The sequence below is a fragment of the Homo sapiens genome, chromosome 3 (genome assembly GCF_000001405.40).
Source record: "Homo sapiens chromosome 3, GRCh38.p14 Primary Assembly".
Lineage (NCBI taxonomy): Eukaryota > Metazoa > Chordata > Mammalia > Primates > Hominidae > Homo > Homo sapiens.
The window spans coordinates 12,369,568-12,389,361 of record NC_000003.12 but is presented as its reverse complement, the minus strand read 5'-3'; the positions used below and the strand labels follow the sequence as shown (position 1 = coordinate 12,389,361).

Sequence of the window (19,794 nt, the reverse complement as noted above, 5' to 3'; positions counted from 1 at the left end):
ACGGCTTCACATGTTCATCAGTACTGGACTCCAGTTAGATAAGTACTAGACTTTCTTATTCTAGCCTTCACATTTCTGAATGCCTCTTTTTTATTTTCCATCTTCTTCTCACTACTTACTCACTAATATTGATTGCCAAAGTAAAAATCAGAACAGAAGCAAAATAACATGAAAATATATAATTACACTGGCAAAAGTAAAAACAAACATTTCTCACTAAAGTTCATTAGTGAGAACAGTTCTGCACTTTACTCTTCCATTGATCAGTGAAGAAGACATACCTCTTTAATATTCAAAGATCCTATGAATCCTTCAAGAACTAAAAGCCTTCAAATTCCAGCAGATCCTGGATAGGGCATATTCTTTAAGACACTGTTGCTTTCATTCTGGTAATTTCTTTGCATATCTCTTTCAGTTTCAGGTTTTTCTTCTGCTGTGTCCAGTAAGCTATCTAACCCTTCCACTGAATTTTTATTTCAATAATTATACTTTTAACTTTTAGAAGCTTCACCTTTTTTTCACTTGGTTTTCAAATCATCCTGGTTATTCCTAATAGTTTATTGTTGCAAGCCTATGCCCTCTTCCTTTAAATAATTCATAATAGCTTTTTTATATTCTGTATCAGGCAATCCCAATTTCTGCTTTCCCCAGGTAGGGGAAGAGCAGGGAGTCTGTATCAGTTTTCTTGTTGATGATGAATGTCATTCAAGATGGTTAGCTTCTCACATGCTTGCTGATATTATTTGGAACTAGTTTCTTGACCTTAAACTGGGGGACTCCTACAAAGTCTGAATTAGGAATTCAGTAGCCAGGGGTGTTACTGACTTATGACTATTTCAGACACTATTGAGAATCCTGGCTTAATTCAGAAGCCCTACACTTAGCTCCTTCTCACTTATTGCTCAGAAAACTGCTACAGCCATCTGCCTTTGGGGCAATGCTCACCACTGTACCTCTCTGGGCATCTATCATGGGGAAAACCCTGACCTGCTAAGTGTGCCTGCAGCTCACAGCTTGGAACTGAGGGTATGTTTGTTTCATTTTGTTTCATTGATGTTGTTTTGGAGAGTTTTCACTACCTCTTGTGAGATCAGCAATGTCTTAAAGAATATGCCCGATGTAGAATTTGCTGGCAGTTGAAGTCTCTTTAATTCTCAAAGGGTTCTGAGGACCTTCAGATATCAAAAAGTTTTTTTTTCACAGATGAACAGAATGCTAATGTATAGAACTGTTCTCATTGATAAATGTTGGTGAAAATCCTGATGTTTGCCATTGTGATCATAGATATTTTATGATATTCCTTGACTTCTCTTTTGATTCTTGCTTTTTAAAGACTAATATTAGTGGGTGAAAATGCTACTTGGCTAGCTGACAGCTGGATGGCTCACAGAGCGCTCAGTTATTTGGCATGGCTAGGAGAGGAAGGTTTTTTTGATAAGAGAATTATTGATCCCTTCCTTACACCATATACAAAATTAACTCAAGATGGATTAAAGACTTAAATGTAAGACCTAACACCACAAAAACCCTAGAAGAAAACCTAGGCAATACCATTCAGGATATAGGCATGGGCAAAGACTTCATGTCTAAAACACCAAAAGCAATAGCAACAAAAGCCAAAATTGACAAATGGGATCTAATTAAACTAAAGAGTTTCTGCACAGCAAAAGAAACTATCATCAGAGTGAACAGGCAACCTACAGAATGGGAGAAAATTTTTGCAATCTACCCATCTGACAAAGGGCTAATATCCAGAATCTACAAAGAACTTAAACAAATTTACAAGAAAAAAACAACCCCATCAAAAAGTGGGTAAGGGATATGAACAGACACTTCTCAAAAGAAGACATTTATGCAGCCAACAGACATATGAAAAAATGCTCATCATCACTGGCCATCAGAGAAATGCAAATCAAAACCATAATGAGATACCATCTCACGCCACTTAGAATGATGATCATTAAAAAGTCAGGAAAAAAACAGACGCTGGAGAGGATGTGGAGAAATAGGAATGCTTTTACACTGTTGGTGGAAGTGTAAATTAGTTCAACCATTGTGGAAGACAGTGTGGCAATTCCTCAAGGATCTAGAACTAGAAATACCATTTGACCCAGCAATCCCATTACTGGGTATATATCCAAAGGATTATAAGTCATGCTACTATAAAGACACATGCACACATATGTTTATTATGGCACTATTCACAACAGCAGAGACTTGGAACTGACCCAAATGTCCATCAATGATTGACTGGATTAAGAAAATGTGGCACATATACATCATAGAATACTATGCAGCCATAAAAAAGGATGAGTCCATATCCTTTGCAGGGGCATGGATGGAGCTGGAAACCATCATCCTAAGCAAACTATCACAAGGACAGAAAACCAAACACTGCACGTTCTCACTCACAGGTGGGAGTGGAACAATGAGAATGCATGGACACAGGGCGGGGAACATCACACAGTGGGGCCTATCAGGGGGTGGAGGGTTGGGGGAGGGATAGCATTAGGAGAAATACCTAATGTAAATGACAAGTTGATGGGTTCAGCAAATCAACATGACACATGTGTAACTATGTAACAAACCTGCACGTTGTGCACATGTACCCTAGAACTTAAAGTATAAGAATAATAAAAAAAAGAAAAGATAACCTCAAGGTTATGGTTTTATTGCCCTGTAGAACATTAACCATTCTGAATCTTATCTCAGGATTCTTTCTTTCAGTGACTATATATTCTTGGTCCTTCAAGTTCTTCTTTGAACTAGATTTACCATCCTGCTTTTCCCTCGTTAATGGGTTTTAAATAAATCTTTGACACATGTTCAAAAAAAAAAAAAGAGAATTAAGTTTAACTCTTATAATGGAAATTTCTGACATGACTCAGCTGATGACTTTCAAAAGTGTATCACATTTTTTGTGATGATCCAAGGTCTTTCAATGAATAATCATTCTGAACATTATACACTGTATATGTAAATAAAATCTTGAACTGAATACACAGATCCTAGCATGCATCTTGGAACTTGCTTTTACTTTTTTTACACCGAGTTCATGATAACCAAGTGTTTTCTTGTTATGTGACTCAAGGAATCTAGAGAGGAAGATGTAAGGATATTATCGAGTGCTTTTCTGTAAAATTATTTATCGATTTACAGAACAAGGCTGGCTTCTCCAAATTTTCTTCATATTACTGATGAAGAAACACTCTAATAACACTTTTTTATTATTTTAGAGTCCATAGAACAATGTATTTTCAACAACTTACTCTTCTGATGATCAGGAAGTCTGTGATGTGGTGTGTTAGAGATGCATCAGTCACCATCTGAGAAAATTGTTTTGTGTATATATTTATTCTAATGTCTGCACATTTGTCTGCTAGAAAGTAACAGACAAATTTTTCATATCATTTGAAAAATTTTCTTTGATCTCTCCTTAATTGCTTTAATTTTAACAAAACATCAGGGACAATGAGACCTCAGAATGGTGTTGTTGATTTTACAATGAAATTAACAGCCCTGTGCTGGGCTTGCAGTTGGCTTTCCCATGAAGCAGTCTGGCCCCTGGAAGTTGGATTAATAAGCTACGACTGGCAGGTGAGAAGAATTAAAACTCTTTCTGAAGTAGGGATGAATAGACATACAAGTGGCTAACAAGCATACGGCATTCTTTTGTATACAGAAATACAAACTTAGATTACATTGTATTGTATGGTAGACTGTATTTACTTATATCTTTAGGTACGGCTATGGTTCCAAAATGATCTTTCACTAAAGATAAAAAATAGGATGGAACTTACCAAAGAAAAAAATATATCTCCAACATGTAAACAACAAATAAATGATAGCTTTCCAAGCTCTAAATTATATATATCTTTCAGTTGCTAAAGGTTTTATTTTACATAAGTTTGCAATATTAACATACCCAAGAATCTGTAACTATTTCACCTTAATTCAAACCCAATCTACTCATTCTCATCTGTCTGACTGAATTTTTGGCAAGAATCACTAATATAAACCTGTTCCATTTACATTGTAAAATTGTTTAGGAAGATCTACCAAAAGTTGTTTTATGCTGTGTTTATTCTTTTCAATCCATAGATAAGCCTGCAGCTTTGTGGTCAACTGTATTTTAATTATGAATATAACCCACATTTTACTACAACAGCAAATGTGAAGCTTCCAAAACACCTCTCAGAAAATACATGCAGATGAGTTAAACACATTTGCTAATTCCATTTTCCTGGCTTTTTATTGCGTATTGGTTATAAGCTAAGGAGATGTCTTTACTGACAGCCACTGGTCTAATGCAGCAGTATTCAGAATGTGGCAGCAATTTTGTCTAGTTTCAAAGTAGCAAAGAATGAGTAACTGCATTTCTTCAGAATGAGACTGAAGGCTTTATGGTTGCAAGATCCCTTTACTCTTTTTAAAATTATAGAAGACCCCAAAGAGATTTTGTTTATGTGGGCTATCTTTACTGACATTTATCACACTAGAAATTACAACTGAGAAATTATTATATACAAGAACACATAAGCAAACATTCCATTAGCTACCAGAGCTATGTCATCATCCTACATCATGTAGCTTCCAGAACACTCCACATACACTCCTGAGAGAATGAAAGTGAAAAAAGTAATAAAAATCATTATTATGAATATAGTTTCAACTTCATGGATGCCTTGAAAGGGTCCAAGCCCCAGACCACACTTTGGGAACTGCTGATGTATACTTGAAGAAGCCAAATGATAATGTTTCATTATGTAACCACATCCTACCAATATCATCTGAATCATTTTCTAGATGAGAAAACCTGAGTAGGATGTGGTTAAATAATGATATATGCAAATGTACCTCACATAGTATCTGGTACATACTAAGAATTCAATAAAAATCAGAATAAGAATTCAAAAAAAGTTTCCTTTTTCGACCCATCATCCATTTAGGAATCAAGATGTCCTAATTCTTTCCTAACTGCTGTTCTATATCTTTACGCCGAATAAAAACCCCAGCCGAAGCAGGGTTTATTTTATAAGGTAAATATTTATGAAAAATTTATTCTGTGCAATCAGTATACAATAAATGCTATTTTATTCATTGAGTATATTAAAATTATTTTGAAAGACTGCATATCAAAATATAAGTGGATTCACATATTTTCTTTATATTAAGTAGTATATTACTAAATGTTTAAATTTTCCAAGAATAATATTTTTCTTATTCTTACCTTTAAAACGTGTAGATGTCTATTTTCCCTTTCCAAGGGAGTAAAACCTTCCTTACATTTTAGTCTAGGAATTCTGGAATCCACATTTTGGATGGTTTGCAAATTACTGCAGGTTAGTATACAATACGCTTAGTTTTCTTCTATGTTTGCTTTTTAATCTATGATAGGTTAAGGACTCCCCTAGAGTCTTCAGGTTTTATTAAGTATTTTTTCTCCCTCCCTGCTTTCTACCCTTTCTAATCCTAAGTTGAAGGCACTTGGATTTCCTCCTCTCTCTTCTCTTTTTGCTACTCTTCTTCCCTGCTTGCTTTTAAGTTTTAGTGCCCTCAGAACTCAGATTTATCACTATAACCAACTACTGACAATGTTCTTGTCTTTCCATTTTCAGCTGTTTTCAGTAATGTTAGCTTTCCACAAATTTGTGACTAATAGGATTATGGTGGAACTATTTGCTTAAAAGTTTTAGTTTTCTAAGTGCTTTACTAGCCCATAAAAAACAATAACTTATTGTGGAACCTTAAACCAACCATGCTGTTTTTATTTATTTATAGTTGTAAATTATCAACATGACCAAAACAGAATGGTTTCTTCAGATAAATATGGCTCAGAATTTAGCAACAGTTTACTCACTCAAAAATGGTATCCAACTCAGTAAAAATAAACTCTAACTCATTAAATCTAAAATAAAACTCAATAAAACCACAAAACATTCAATAAAAAATCTAAGTCAATAAAATGACATGTTCTTACTACTCATCAAGATCTTAGATAACTGACTTAATACAATGATTTCATATAAGGTCATAAATATTTTAACTTGGTTTAAATTACAGAACGAACGGGTTTTAGTGTTTTAAATGAAAGCATCTCTTGCCAGAGTGTTTCAAAGTGTCATTTTGAAATTACAGAACTTAGAGATGAATAAGACCTTGTGTAGCCAATCTAACCAAGTCATTTTACATATGGGGGGCCTGATGAAGGATACAATGTGTATGTGACTGGCTAATGACTTTGGAAAGTGGCAGAGCTGACCTCTGGTTTGTCCCTTTTCACTGTATTAGGTTGCCTTTAGAGTAAAAACTGTTTCAATTGAAGGGACTTTAGAGATCATGTAATTCAGTGTCATTTTATTTATTTACTTATTTATTTATTTATTTTTGGAGTTAGGGTCTTGCTTTTGTGACCCAGGCTGGAGTGCAGTGGTATGATCATAGCTCACTGCAGCCTTGAACTTCTGGGATCAAGGGATCCTCTTACCTAAACCTCCCAAGAAGCTAGGACTACAGGCATGTGCCACCATGCCTGGTTAATTTTTTAAAAATTTTGTAGGGATGGGGTCTCACTATGCTGCCCAGACTGGTCTTGAACCCCTGGGCTCAAGTGATCCTCCTGCCTTGGCCTCCCAAAGTGTTGGGATTAGAGGCGTGAGCCACCACACTCAGCCACAATCATTTTATAGATGAGAAAACCTGGGTAGGATGTGGTTAAATACTGATGTATGAAAACGTTACCTCATACAGTATTTGGCATGTAGTAAGAATTCAATAAAAATCAGTTTCCTTTTTTGGCCCACCATCCATTTAGGAACCAAGATGTCCTAAAACTTTCCTAACTGTTGTTCTGTATCTTTACGTTGAATAAAAAGCCCAATAAGCAGGTATTTATTTTATAAAGTGAATATTTATGAACAGTTTATTCTGTGCAATGCGTATATAATAAATTAGTACTATTTTTGCATTGTGTATATTAAAATTATCTTAAAAGACTGCATATCAAAATATGAGTGGATTCACATATTTTCTTAATAATTAAGCAATAAATTACTAAACGTCTGAATTTTCCAAAATACCCTTTTCACAAAGGAAAGAGATGAGGATAAATAGTATCTCCTTTCCCACACTGTTATACCTCCTTACCTGTCCGTGTATGTGGCTCACATTGATGCTGGAATAAGGAAACATGAGGCACTGCTTTGAGAGCCAACACCACCTAAGGAGTCAGGGTCTAGACTGCGGTCTGCCACTTACTAAGGGATGACCTTGGCAAGTTTTACTAACCTGTAATTTCTACATCTGCAATGTGGCCATAAAGAAGTCCAATCTTATAGGATTGCTCTAGGGATCCAAAGATATGCATATATAAATAATCTGTAAAATCTTCTGTCTATACAATATTACACGGTATAGCAAAATAAATAAATAAATAAATAAATAAACAACTAGAGAATGCAGGAAATCTGCATCCTGGTTCCAGGTCATCACTGTCTTGCCATGACACCTTGGAGAAGTCACCTTTTTGTAAAAATCTGCAAGATGCAAGGATTAAATTAGATCAGTGTCTCAAAGAATCAATTTGGAGAAACAAATGTGGGGCAAAGCAGCCCAACTTTTATCCACTTTCTTAGGCTTTCAAATCTTATATCATCCTTTGGGAGGCTGAGGTGGGAGGATCACTTGAGCCCAGAAGCTCAAGGCTGCAGTGTGCTAGGATAGCACCACTGCACTCTGGTCTGGGTGACAGAGCAAGATACTCTTCCATGAAGAAAAAAAATTCATATATTGTATCACCTAAAAAAGGGGTTCTGCTGAAATGAAATAATAAAGTTTCAACAATTTCTTTGAAGACTTTTTTTTTAATTACCTTGCATCCTTCACAAGCATGAACTCCATAGTGAAATCCAGAAGCTTTATCTCCACAGACACGACATTCAATTGCCATGAGGGAGTTGGAAGGCTCTTCATGAGGCTTATTGTAGAGCTGAGTCTTCTCAGAATAATAAGGTGGAGATGCAGGCTCCACTTTGATTGCACCTGTGTATGGAGACATGTGAGAGGATAATTATCCCATGAAAACAGTCCTAAAAAGGCAACAGGGCAAGCCACCATAGTACACCTTCATGCTGTATTTGTATTGTTTCAGTGTAAAAGCACAGTGGAACATGAAAAAACACTGGAGTTAAGGCAAGAAAAAGAAAGGTTTGTAATCACAGGCAAGTTATAACATCTCTAAGCCTCACCTGTAAATATAAAATGGGAATGAGAATTAAGTCTGTGGTTCTATGACCCCCAGTAGCCTGCAATACTACAGCTGTAACAGACAACATAGAGGATTTGAGACAAGGAAGCTTATTTTGCTAGGAAATGTTCTGTCTTTGGTATTCATCACAATATTAAATTATACATTTTATTTAAATATTCCATTTTATAAGTACTTTGAAACAACTTGCAAAAGAACCACAGAAGGAACACCACTGTGAAAAGGTCATGGTATGCCTAGCTTGAGGTGCATGAAAAATATGAGCCCAGGTTACCATTAGTGTTCAGTCAAAGGAGGTGGTTTGTGAAATAATCTTTGACAGAGCGTGGCGGAACTTATGGAAGTAAGCCCTACCTTTTACTAGTTGGGCTCAGGGCTACTAAATTTCCATATTAGGCTCTAACTGAAAACCGCATAGATAAATATAACTAAGCATATTATTTATCTTTAAAAGCCACTAGAAATACAGGAAGTTCTTACTTGTCAAGTAATGATTGCCAATTACATAGTGGTGGCTTTGGAAAACCAGCATGTCAGCCCACACATGATAAAAATCAAGGAAATAGCATCACAGAAATACATTTTATCTCAAAAAGTGCAGTTCTAGTTTTTCTTGAGTCTGATGTTTTGATGTTGATTTAGTTAATGGCATGAAAATTTATCAATAGGCTACAATGTTAAAACAAATTTGTGCTTAAAAGTAGGTTTCAGTATAAACTCCTGAAAGGACATACTAGAAAAAATGTACTGTAGTAGCAGTAATATAGTGAAGATAAGTTATATAATACAAAGTGACTTGGAATTGTTACTTATTAACTTATAAGGGGCCAAAATAATTCAAAGTTTGGATGATGGACTCTTAGCCTGAGATACAACTGACAGTGTAATCAAGGTAGAAAATGTCCCTAAGAAGGAAGTAAGCAAGAAAGGAAAGAAGAGAGGAAGGAAGGAGGGGGCGGGGAAGGCAAGATTGACCTCGTGCCAGCTCCCTTCCTGGCATTTCATAGATACCTAATATTTCATGGATAAATGGGTGAATAAATGAATGGTGAATGCCTTCTCTATTAGATTTCTAGTCTCTGGAGCATTATTTATTACAGGGTTACTGAGAGATGAGTCCAATTCTAGTCCTAGTAGTCTGAAAAGTGAAAATAAACATCATACTTTGGTACTCTTGAAGTTTCAGGTCATACTTGTAATCTGCAACCACTGGATCTGTTCTTGTGAATGGAATGTCTTCGTAATGTGGAGTAGAAATGCTGGAGAAGTCAACAGTAGTGAAGGGCTTGATATCAAAGGAGTGGGAGTGGTCTTCCATTACGGAGAGATCCACGGAGCTGATCCCAAAGTTGGTGGGCCAGAATGGCATCTCTGTGTCAACCATGGTCATTTCTGAAAGGAAAAATAGACTAGCTGTGAAGTTAAGTCCTAGAGAACACAGCAATCTCACAGAGTTTCAGAAAGAGAAATGAAAAGAGTCTTTGGCAAAGTAATCTCATCTGGGCGCTCACAACAACAGAAAAGAACATAACCACCTTCTTAGTGCTGTCTAGGCTGTTTTATGATAGAAAGGAAGTCACCCTTTACCCAGGTATCATAATAGAGGATCCTGAAACAGTGCAGATACATACAGTGTATCCATATAAATGCCTTTTTGCCAACAGGCCTGCTCTCATTAACTTCTACATTAGGTCATCAATTGAGTCTGTTAATGACTGCTGTTATTTATTTAAAATTTTGTCCAGCTTTATTGAGTATAATAGACAAAAATTTTTAAACTTAAGGTATACAGGCCAGGCACAGTGGCTCACACCTGTAATCCCAGCACTTTGGGAGGCGGAGGCAGGAGGATCACCTGAGGTCAGGAGTTCGAGACCAGCCTGGCCAACATGGTGAAACCTCATCTCTACTAAAAATACAAAAATTGGCCGGGTGTGGTAGCACGCCTGTAATCCCAGCTACTTGGGAGACTGAGACAGGAGAATCACTTGAACCTGGGAGGCAGAGGTAGCAGTAAGGTGAGATCACACCACTGCACTCCAGCCTGGGTGACAGAGCAAGACTCCACCTCAAAAAAAACCTAAACCAAAACAAAACAAAAAAACCCAAAAAACCAAAAAACAAACAAAACACTTAAGGTATTCAATGTGATGTTTTAATATACGTATTTACTATGAAATGATTATCATAATCAAGGTAATGAACATATTCATCACTTCACAGTTACCTTTTTGAGTATGAATATGTGTAGTGAGAACACTTAACATCTACTGTCTTAGCAAATTTCAAATATACCATACAGTATCACTAACTATAGTCACCATGCTGAAGGTGACCTATACTTAGCAGATGATCACCTTAGAAGGTGACCAGAGCTTATCCTGCATAACTGAAACTCTGGCTGATATCTCCCCATTGCTCTCACCCTCCAGCTCCTGGCAACCACCATTTTACTCACTGCTTTTATGAGTTCGACTTTTTTAGATTCCACGTGGATCATGTGGTATTTGTCTTTCTGTGTCAAATACCACCCAGTTTAATTCTCTTAGCATAACGTCCTCTAGGTTCATCTCTGTTGTCGCAAATGACAGGATTTCCTTCTCTTTTTAAGGCTGAATAATATTCTATTGGGTGTGTACATATACATCTGTATGTGTATATATGTATGTGTGTATATATATACAGATATATACTGTGTTTTCAAAAATCCATTCATCCATTGACACTTAGGTTGATTTCATATCTTGGCTATTGCGAATAATGCTGCAGTGAACATGGGAGAGCAGATAGCTCTTCAACATACTGATTCCATTTCCCTTGGATATATACCCAGAAGTAGGATTGCTAGATCATATGCTAGTTCTATTTTTAATTTTTTGAGGCAGTCCATTCTGTTTTCCATAATGACTATACCAATTTACATTCCTGCCAACAGTGTACAAGGGTTCCCTCTTATCCACATCCTTGCCAACACTTCTTATCTTCTGTGTTTTTGATAACAGCCATTCTAATGGGTGTGAGATGATATCTCACCGTGGTTTTGATTTGCATTTCCCTGATGATTAGTGATGGTGAGTACCTTTTCATATATCTGTTGGCCACTTGTATGTCTTCTTTCTAGAAATGGATATTCCTTTATCATTTTTTAACTGGGTTATTTGTTTTCTTGCAATTGAGTTTGTTGAGTTTCTTACATATTTTGGAATATTAATTCCATATCAGATGTACGATTTGCAATCCATAACTTCATATCAGATGTACAGATTCCCCTATTCTGTAGGCTGGCTTTTCACTTTATTGATTATTTCCTTTGTGGTGAAGAAGTTTCTAGTTTGATGCAATCTGTTAATGATTGTTTTTAAAGTGTGCACAGGGTTCCAGGACAATTTTACTCTCTTGAAATTAGAAGCCCAAAATATTTTTCTCTTTAGGATGAAATTTTTGCTATTCTACTTGTATTTATAATGCTTTTGTGTAATAGAAAAGTTGGCAAATTAAATTTAGGTAAATGAACTTCTTCTTTAATTGCATCCTAAAATAATTTTGTTCTTAAAATAATACAAAAATAAAAAAATTTTAAAGGGAAAAATCACTCAATTATTACTTCTGTACTATGAAAAATTACTCAATAATCTTTTCTGTGGATACACCTTTTCTTAAAGCGGAGAAAGTTTTCCCCACATTGAGAATAGAAAGGTTAGAGAGATATGTGGAAACATTTGATCACACCCGAGAGTGTCAAAATCAGACTCTAGCCCAGCATTAATTTTAAACCATCCCCAAAACAAAAACAAAACAAAACAGAGATAGAAACAAGAAAACACATAAAAGACAAAGGAAAAATGCTTACATGGATTCTAAGGCCACAGAATAGCAAGTTTCATGAATCATTTGCCCAATATCATGTATGCCACATGCATTTTTCTAAACATGATTTATTGTCACAGTAAGTGCAACAAAACTCTTTTGGTTCACTTCATGTGAACTTGTGAGCCACCGAGGGTGCAGACTGGAAAACTTTCTGCAATAGGTACCTGGACTCTGTTTACCTGACACCAGTTCATTATTCAAAGTGGTGCCAAAAAAGCAGTCATAGGTATTTTAAATGTTAACTCTGTGGTCAAAAACACCAGTGGAGAGCTGTGTAAATTTAGGACTGCTCACACGGGAGACAGAGATGAGCTGCTCATAAACTCCAGGATTCATCAAATCATAGGCGTATCTTTCTTGTTTGCAGTCATATCCCCACTGGCTAACAAAGGGCTTGTCTCATAGTAGGTGCTCGTTAAATATTTATTTATTAAATACTAAATACATTGATGACTTAATGAGATAGCTGTGAAGTTTCAGCAGAAGGGGCAGGGAAGGAGGGAAGCAAATTGGTATTGATCAAGCACTTCCCATGTGCCCGGTACATCCTACCTTTTCTTCTGCATAATCTGAAATATTATTCCCACTTTATAGATAAGCAAGCTAGGACCAAAGAAGTAAAGTGAATTGTTCAAGGTCCTCTAGCTAGGAAGTAGAAGATGCAAACTCAAGACTGACCCTGAAACTCTCTTCTGTATATACATACTCTCTTGATTCTCTCATTGATGAAACAGGCTTATGGAGGAGGGGCCACTCTCCTCTGTGTATCTGTGCATGGGCCTCTTGCTTTTCCTTTTTCTTTTCTTTTATTTATTTATCATTTTTTTGGAGCAATTTTATTTTAATGCTCTCACTTTAACACCACTTGCTTTTTCTTACCAAGCAGATTGCCAAGAAATTCACTCCAAAGGCAAACTTTTGCATGAGTTGAAGATTGAAGATTTCGGCTGTCATCTTCATAAGAAAAAATGCCCTGAGGCCGGGTGCGGTGGCTCACACCTGTAATTCCAGCACTTTGGGAGGCCAAAGAGGGTGGATCACCTGAGGTCAGGAGTTCGAGACCAGCCTGATCAACATGGAGAAACCCCATCTCTGCTAAAAATACAAAATTAGCTGGTCATGGTGGTGCATGCCTGTGATCCCAGCTACTCGGGAAGCTGAGGCAGGAGAATCACTTGAACCCAGGAGAGAGAGGTTGCGGTGAGCTGAGATCACGCCACTGCACTCCAGCCTGGGCAACAAGAGTGAAACTCCAACTCAAAAGAAAAAAAAAAAAAGCCTTGAAAATATAAACAAGACTGGTCCTGTGAATGCGCGTTTGTGGTTTCAAGAGGACTAATTAGGTACCGTATGGGTTCACATGTCTATCTACATAAATAAGTACCCAAACAACCTTAAGTTATCTGTGTTTCAGTGTCAACACTGCACACCAAAAAGGGGAATGTGTACTGGTGATAGTTAAAGGTCATTCTAGGTCTCAATGACATCCAGAAAAAAGTCTGTGCTCCTAAGGACAGGGCACCCATCCAACTGTGTCCTTTGTTTCAAAATTCGTCCAAACCTGTCTAACCCAGGTCATTCCATTTACTTTGTCTGTCTCCTTGGCAGGCTTAATTTTCATTTCTGTATCTACTTTTCTTAGTATAACTTATTTTCATATTAAAGTATATTTCCCTTGTCTACACTGTAATATCCACAAAGGTGGGTTTATCACCTATTTCTCACTATGCTATTGCAAAGTTTTCTGCATACAGAATAAAGGCTGACAAAGTGAGTTAAAGGTAGTGGATATGCTTTTGTATGAATACTGGGAAATGAAAATAAGGATGCACAAATATCTGGGGTGGGAGAGAAATTGGTTGCTCATGATTTTACTGGTTTAATTTTGCTTTGTTTCATTTTTAACATACAATTTCAGTGACTTCCTATCAATCACAGCCATGCTGCTTTCTTTCCTCTCTCTCTCTCTCTCTCTCTCTCCCACCTCCCCAACCTCACTTTTAAAGAGACAGCATCTCACTGTGTTGCCCAGGCTGGTCTCAAACTCCTGCGTTCAAGTGGTCCTCCTGGCTCAGCCTCCCAAACTTCCGGGAATATAGGCGTGAGCCACTGTGCCCAGCCAAAGTCATGCTTCTTATTACAAAAGTCATATCCCTAGGGGTCGTGTATTACATTGTGGAAATTTTGGGAAAATTTTTAATGTGAAAATAGCCATCTATGTGTTAAGGAAAGAAGGAAAAGTTCATGTAATTTTTAAAAATATTATATGAAATTCCTAGAAAACTCTGTACTTGTAGTACATCTCATGGCTAAAAGGATGCTGTTTTCTGTTTTCGTTTTGTTTTGCTTTTCATAGTAGCCTTTACTTTTGTGAGAGCAGTTTTAGGGTTACATAAAAATTGAGCAGAAAGTACAGAGCTCTTAAAATAGCCCTTCCCCAGCCTCCTGTCCCCTCTCTACAAAGCATGGTTTTCCCCTATTACTAACACCTTGCACAGTGTAGTATACCTGCTATAACTGATGAACCAATATTGACACATTATTACCACCTAAAGTCCATGATTTACATCAAGGTTTGCTCTTTCTGTTGCATAGTTCTACATTTTTGTTTTGTTTTGTTTTTGTTTTTGGTGGAGTCTCGCTCTGTCACCCAGGCTGGAATGCAGTGGCACGATCTTGGCTCACTGCAACCTCCACCTCCCAGGTTCATATGATTCTCCTGCCCCAGCCTCCTGAGTAGCTGGGATTACAGGCGTGTGCCACCATGCCCTGCTAATTTTTGTATTTTTAGTAGAGAAGGGGTTTCACTATGTTGGCCAGGCTGGTCTTGAACTCCTGACCTCAATGGATCTACCTGCCTCTGCCTCCCAAAGTGCTGGGATTACGGGTGTGAGCCACCATGCCCAGCCAAGTTCTATGGGTTTTGACAAAGACATAATATCATGCATTCATTAGAGGATCACACAGAATAGTTTCACTGCCCCAAACATACCCCATACTCCACCTATTCATTCCTCCCTTCCTCCACCCAAGAATGGTATGGTTTTGCTGTCCTCTACTAGTAAGGGCATACTGGTGGAAAAGCAGGAGAAACACTGGCCTTTTAGCTTGGCATTCAAGGCCCTCTATGTCTCAGCCCTAACTTACTTTTTCAGTCTTATTTCCACTGGTTATCCCAGACCTCGCTCCCATTCTTGGCATATCTGGTGGCTGGGCATATCATACTATCTGCCCAGGTTAAACATGCCCTGCCTCTTTTAGTCATACAGGTTACTGAGGCTGCTGTATCTTCTTCCTACTCCTCACCTCTTCATGCCACAAGCCTGTTTGTCTTTCAAAACCCAGTCCAAATGCTACTTTCTCTGTAAAACCATCTATGAATCCTCCAACTTAAAAACACTCCATTCTCTGTGTTCCCACAGCACTTTGTACCTCCTCCTTTAACTCAGATATAATTATCTGGATAACTATCTCCACCATTAGACTTCCAGTCTGGAGTAAAAGGACAGCATCTTATTATTCTATCTTCCCATGTGCATATTCTATGCACAGTTTTTTTTTTTAACCAAATTCTTGCCAATTGATGATCATATTTTATGCAGAAGAGTAGAGTAAATTTTCATTTTGCTACTAAAGATGGAAAAATAACAATACTTTCTCAATAGTTTAGTTTTGTTAAGACTTAAGTTCTCTCCAAAAAATGTTAATCTTCAACATTATCAATAAAATACAACTTAAGCCATAACCATTCCCCTTAACGATGTATATTCAGTTTTTTCTCTTTTGCTGATTACAAGAGGAAGGTTGTGGTCCTAGATGGTTTTCTTATTTTTCTAAGTTGAAAGGACAAAGTAAGAAAGAAAAACAGCTTGCCTCTTCATCTCTATGAAAACATTGCCCAAACACACTTTTCCCCTTCCCCCCTGCCCTTCTCCCTTCCCTTTTACTCTGGGACACCTTGACCTAAACAATATTATTCCATGGACCATAGTTACTGGGAGGCACAGTGGTTCCCTAGACATTTTATTTTATTTTGACTTAGAGATGGGTCCAGAAAGCCTGCTTCTAATTTTGTCTCTAGAAAACATAAGCTACTGTTTCTGCCAAGCTGTAAGTTGAGGAGGTGTTTTTTGTTACTCCGTGCAATTACCCATGAAAGAACAAATGAACAAAATATTTGCATGAACAACAGCCCTTCTCAGTAACAAGAACATGTCTTAACTCCCTAGCTGGTGACACTGAGTTGTGTTGCATCAGTGGTATATCCATTAATTTCACAACCTTTAGAGTGTTTCAAGCAGGCTAAAGTCTTTAGGCAGAACTTGTGAGCAAAGGACATGGATGTGTGCCATTATCTTAGACCTTCAAACTTGGCTTTAAATGCTATTATAGTCAATGCGCAGACTTTTCACAATACTCAAAGGATGAAGTAGTGCAACAAAAATACAACCAATTTCATGCAAAAATAAAGTAACTTCTTTAATCTGATAGGCATTATTATTTGGGAGTATGGAAGTGGGTTGGAAAAGATGCTAAATTGTAAAATTGAACACCAGAAATATATGCTTTACCTTTGGGGTTTTATGTTGTCCCTTACGAAAAGAAAAGAAAAGCTATGATTAGAATAGCTGGTAAAATGTTACATCTTCTTCATATTTACATTAGCTAATACTAACAGGACACTAAATCTGTGCAAAGTACTACGCCAAATATTGTGCCCGGATTGTGTCATTTAATCCTCACAACCAGCCCGAGGAAGTAGGTGCATTTATAATTTACTTTAAAGATGGGAAAACTGAGGCATGGACCTGGAAGTAAGTAACTTGCCTAAAAGTACGCAGTAACTAAGCAGTAGAACTGGCATTGAATCCAGATGGTCTGAAGCTCCATAGCCCACACTTGTGACTTTACACTGGATACTGGTTAGAAAAACATTATTTCTTCCTGATCTTCCAGTTCTATATTAAACAATTATTTAACAGTTCCAACAAATCTTCATGAATACCTATAATGTGCCAGGCAGGCAGGGGGGCAGGGGATGTACTATGAAGAGTAACTCTCAAATGAAAGCTTTATTGGAGAAATGTGTTCAGCTAGGCAACAAGAGTACGTGCCTGAAAAGCCTTTCATAGGTCCTTTGTAGTTTTGTTGGAAATGACCTTAAAAGACACTTAACCGCCGATTTTTCAATCCCTTCTCATTTGTTTCAGTTAATGTCATGGTACTCATAACTGTGGTTCCAACTTGTTTATCCAGCCCATCCTTACTGATTCATGCAGATCAAGATCACTCTGCAGTGTAAACTGACCTGGGAATTTACTAATTCCTCTCCCATCATGACAGCGACATCCAGAGACAAGAATCATCCTGAAACACTACAGCAGAAAAGGCTGTTTTGAGATCATCTGAGTTCTCATTTGACAGATAAAGAAAATGAGGCAAAGTGACCTGCTCAGGGTTTCCTGGTGAGCTAGAGGCTGACTGGACGGGAGCCCAGCTTGGCTCCTCTGAGCCTGGCATTCTCAGCGCTGTGTTATCAAGTTGTTACTACATGTAAATATGCTGAAAATGGGACTTTTAACCTTTGCCACTTTTCACAGATCCAGATTTATTTTTTGGGGGTCTTTAGTGAATGTATATGAATGTCATCAAATTTATGAGGGAAAAAGTCTCATGTAAGGAACCATTTCCTGGATGGCAAATTATCACAGAATAAAATGCGAAGAACTAAATCTGTAACAGAATTTGTTTCTAACAAAAGTCATGAACTCTGAATTAATCAAAAGGCGTAGGGAATAGTCTTGAATAGTCTAATAAAGTAAGCATTATCTTGGTTTGTTTTTACATAGTAAGTACAGATATACAAATGTTGTTTGCTTGCTTTGTGCCGTTTGCTGTTTTGAACATTAACGGTGAAGAAGGATGGGCACAGCTCCATGTCAGATGCCCGAGGTTCCAATCCAACCCTATTGCTGGAAGTTCGTATCTCTTCATATCTAATCTCCATCTGTAGAATATTAATATTGTCTCCCTCCTAGAGTTGTTGTGAGGATTAAATTAGATAATGTATGTAGAGCACTTACCATAGGGCTGGATACTTAATAAGTTCTCAATAAATATAATTAATATTAATAGTATAACAGTAATTTGTGTACACATTAGTCACCAGAGTACTACAGTCATATAAAAGGTGGGCTAAAAGCCTCCAACACTACCACTAGGGGACAGGAAGAGGAAGAACCGCCAGCAAAGCCCTATTGTTTAAACAGGACTACGCCTAAAACAGATGTCCTGTTTTAAAGGCCTCTGGAAAAGGAGAGTCCACAGCTCCTCTTGGTTACTCATTCCAATGCTTAATTGCTCTTTAGCAGCCAGGAAAGTCTATGTCTTATCTGGCATTTCCCCAACTGTGTTATACATATGTTAATAATGTTCCTTTAAAAATAATTAAAAACAAAACAAAAAAAATCTGGTGATCAAGTAAATTTAGGCAATGCTAGGTTAAGCAAGGTTAAATAGGTTTACTGTGAGACTTCTTAAACTAACAGGCTAATGTTCACGAGAATACACAAAAGAGAGAAAAAAGCACAGTGTGCAATATTTGAGGAGCTTAATATGTGATGGAATATGGTTTGAGAAATGATGATCTAACCTATGTTGAAGTTTGCGACTATCTCTTTTTTCCCATTTTTTAAACATATAGTTATCATCCTCTGCATATTTGCCTTTTATCACATGTACTTGAAACGTATTCCTGAGTTGTTCCTCAGTTTTTCTTTAACCTTAGAATGACTAAGATCAAGGATTTATAAAACAGTAACAAAACCCAAGAGAGAAAGGATTTCTTAAACCACACAGAAAGGAACACTGTCAAGATTAATACCCCTTCTATAGAGATGATCATAAGTACTTCCTGACAGGAAAAAAAAAAAGTACCATAGAAAGGATCAGGAATCAGAATGACACTGAACTTCTCAACAGTAACACTGGAAGCTAGAAAATCAATAGAACAATGTTGCCAAAATTCAAGAGAAAAAAAAATTTCCAACCTAGAATTTTAGACTCATCCAAATCGTCCATCAAGTATGAGAGTAAAGACATTTTCAGAATGATAAGGCATCCAGAAAAGTTACCTCCCACGTACTCTTTCCCAGAGTTCTCCACCAGAACCAAGAAGAGAAAAGATGGGACCAGGAAACAAAGGATCTGAAAGACAGGAGAGAGGTGGAAGGTAGTCCCAGGCTACAGATACAGAGCAGCCTAGAGAAAATGCAGGAGGAAGAAGGCCAGGTGGGATCACCTGAGAAACCAGAATGCCCGATATGTCTGACCACTTTCAGAGGAGTTTTTATTACTCTGTCAGAGAGTTTGAGGATGAATTAGTGATGAGTACATAGCAAGAAATGACAACAAAATGAGCAATGACTAAGTGACAAAAATTAACTCCAGAAAAGTAAATAGCTAAGCAGGAGAGGAAACAGAATCATAGCACACTGCTTGGCTCAACCTTAAGCAGCACTTTCAGTTACTACAATGTAAGCACAGACAACTGATTTAACCCCAAATTACAAGTAACTACATTGTGAAGATGGAGGGGAGGGAGAAGTATGTGTTTTGGAAAAGGGAATATGGTAGTAAAAGGACTAAATTATTATCTC

General features: G+C 37.2%; 1 protein-coding gene across 16 annotated transcripts in view; it reads right to left on the bottom strand.

Moving 5' to 3' along the window:
• The window catches only part of PPARG (peroxisome proliferator activated receptor gamma), a 146,977-nt gene that overhangs the window by 44,983 nt on the left and 82,200 nt on the right, over positions 1-19,794 (bottom strand). For all 16 annotated transcript variants that reach the window (NM_001354666.3, NM_138712.5, NM_005037.7 and 13 more), the window contains 2 exons: positions 9,431-9,658; positions 7,871-8,040 (listed from right to left, as the gene is read on the bottom strand). In NM_001354666.3, the coding sequence (NP_001341595.2) occupies positions 7,871-8,040; positions 9,431-9,650 (390 nt within the window). In that variant the 5' untranslated portion in view covers positions 9,651-9,658. The remainder of the gene's footprint in view (positions 1-7,870; positions 8,041-9,430; positions 9,659-19,794) is intronic.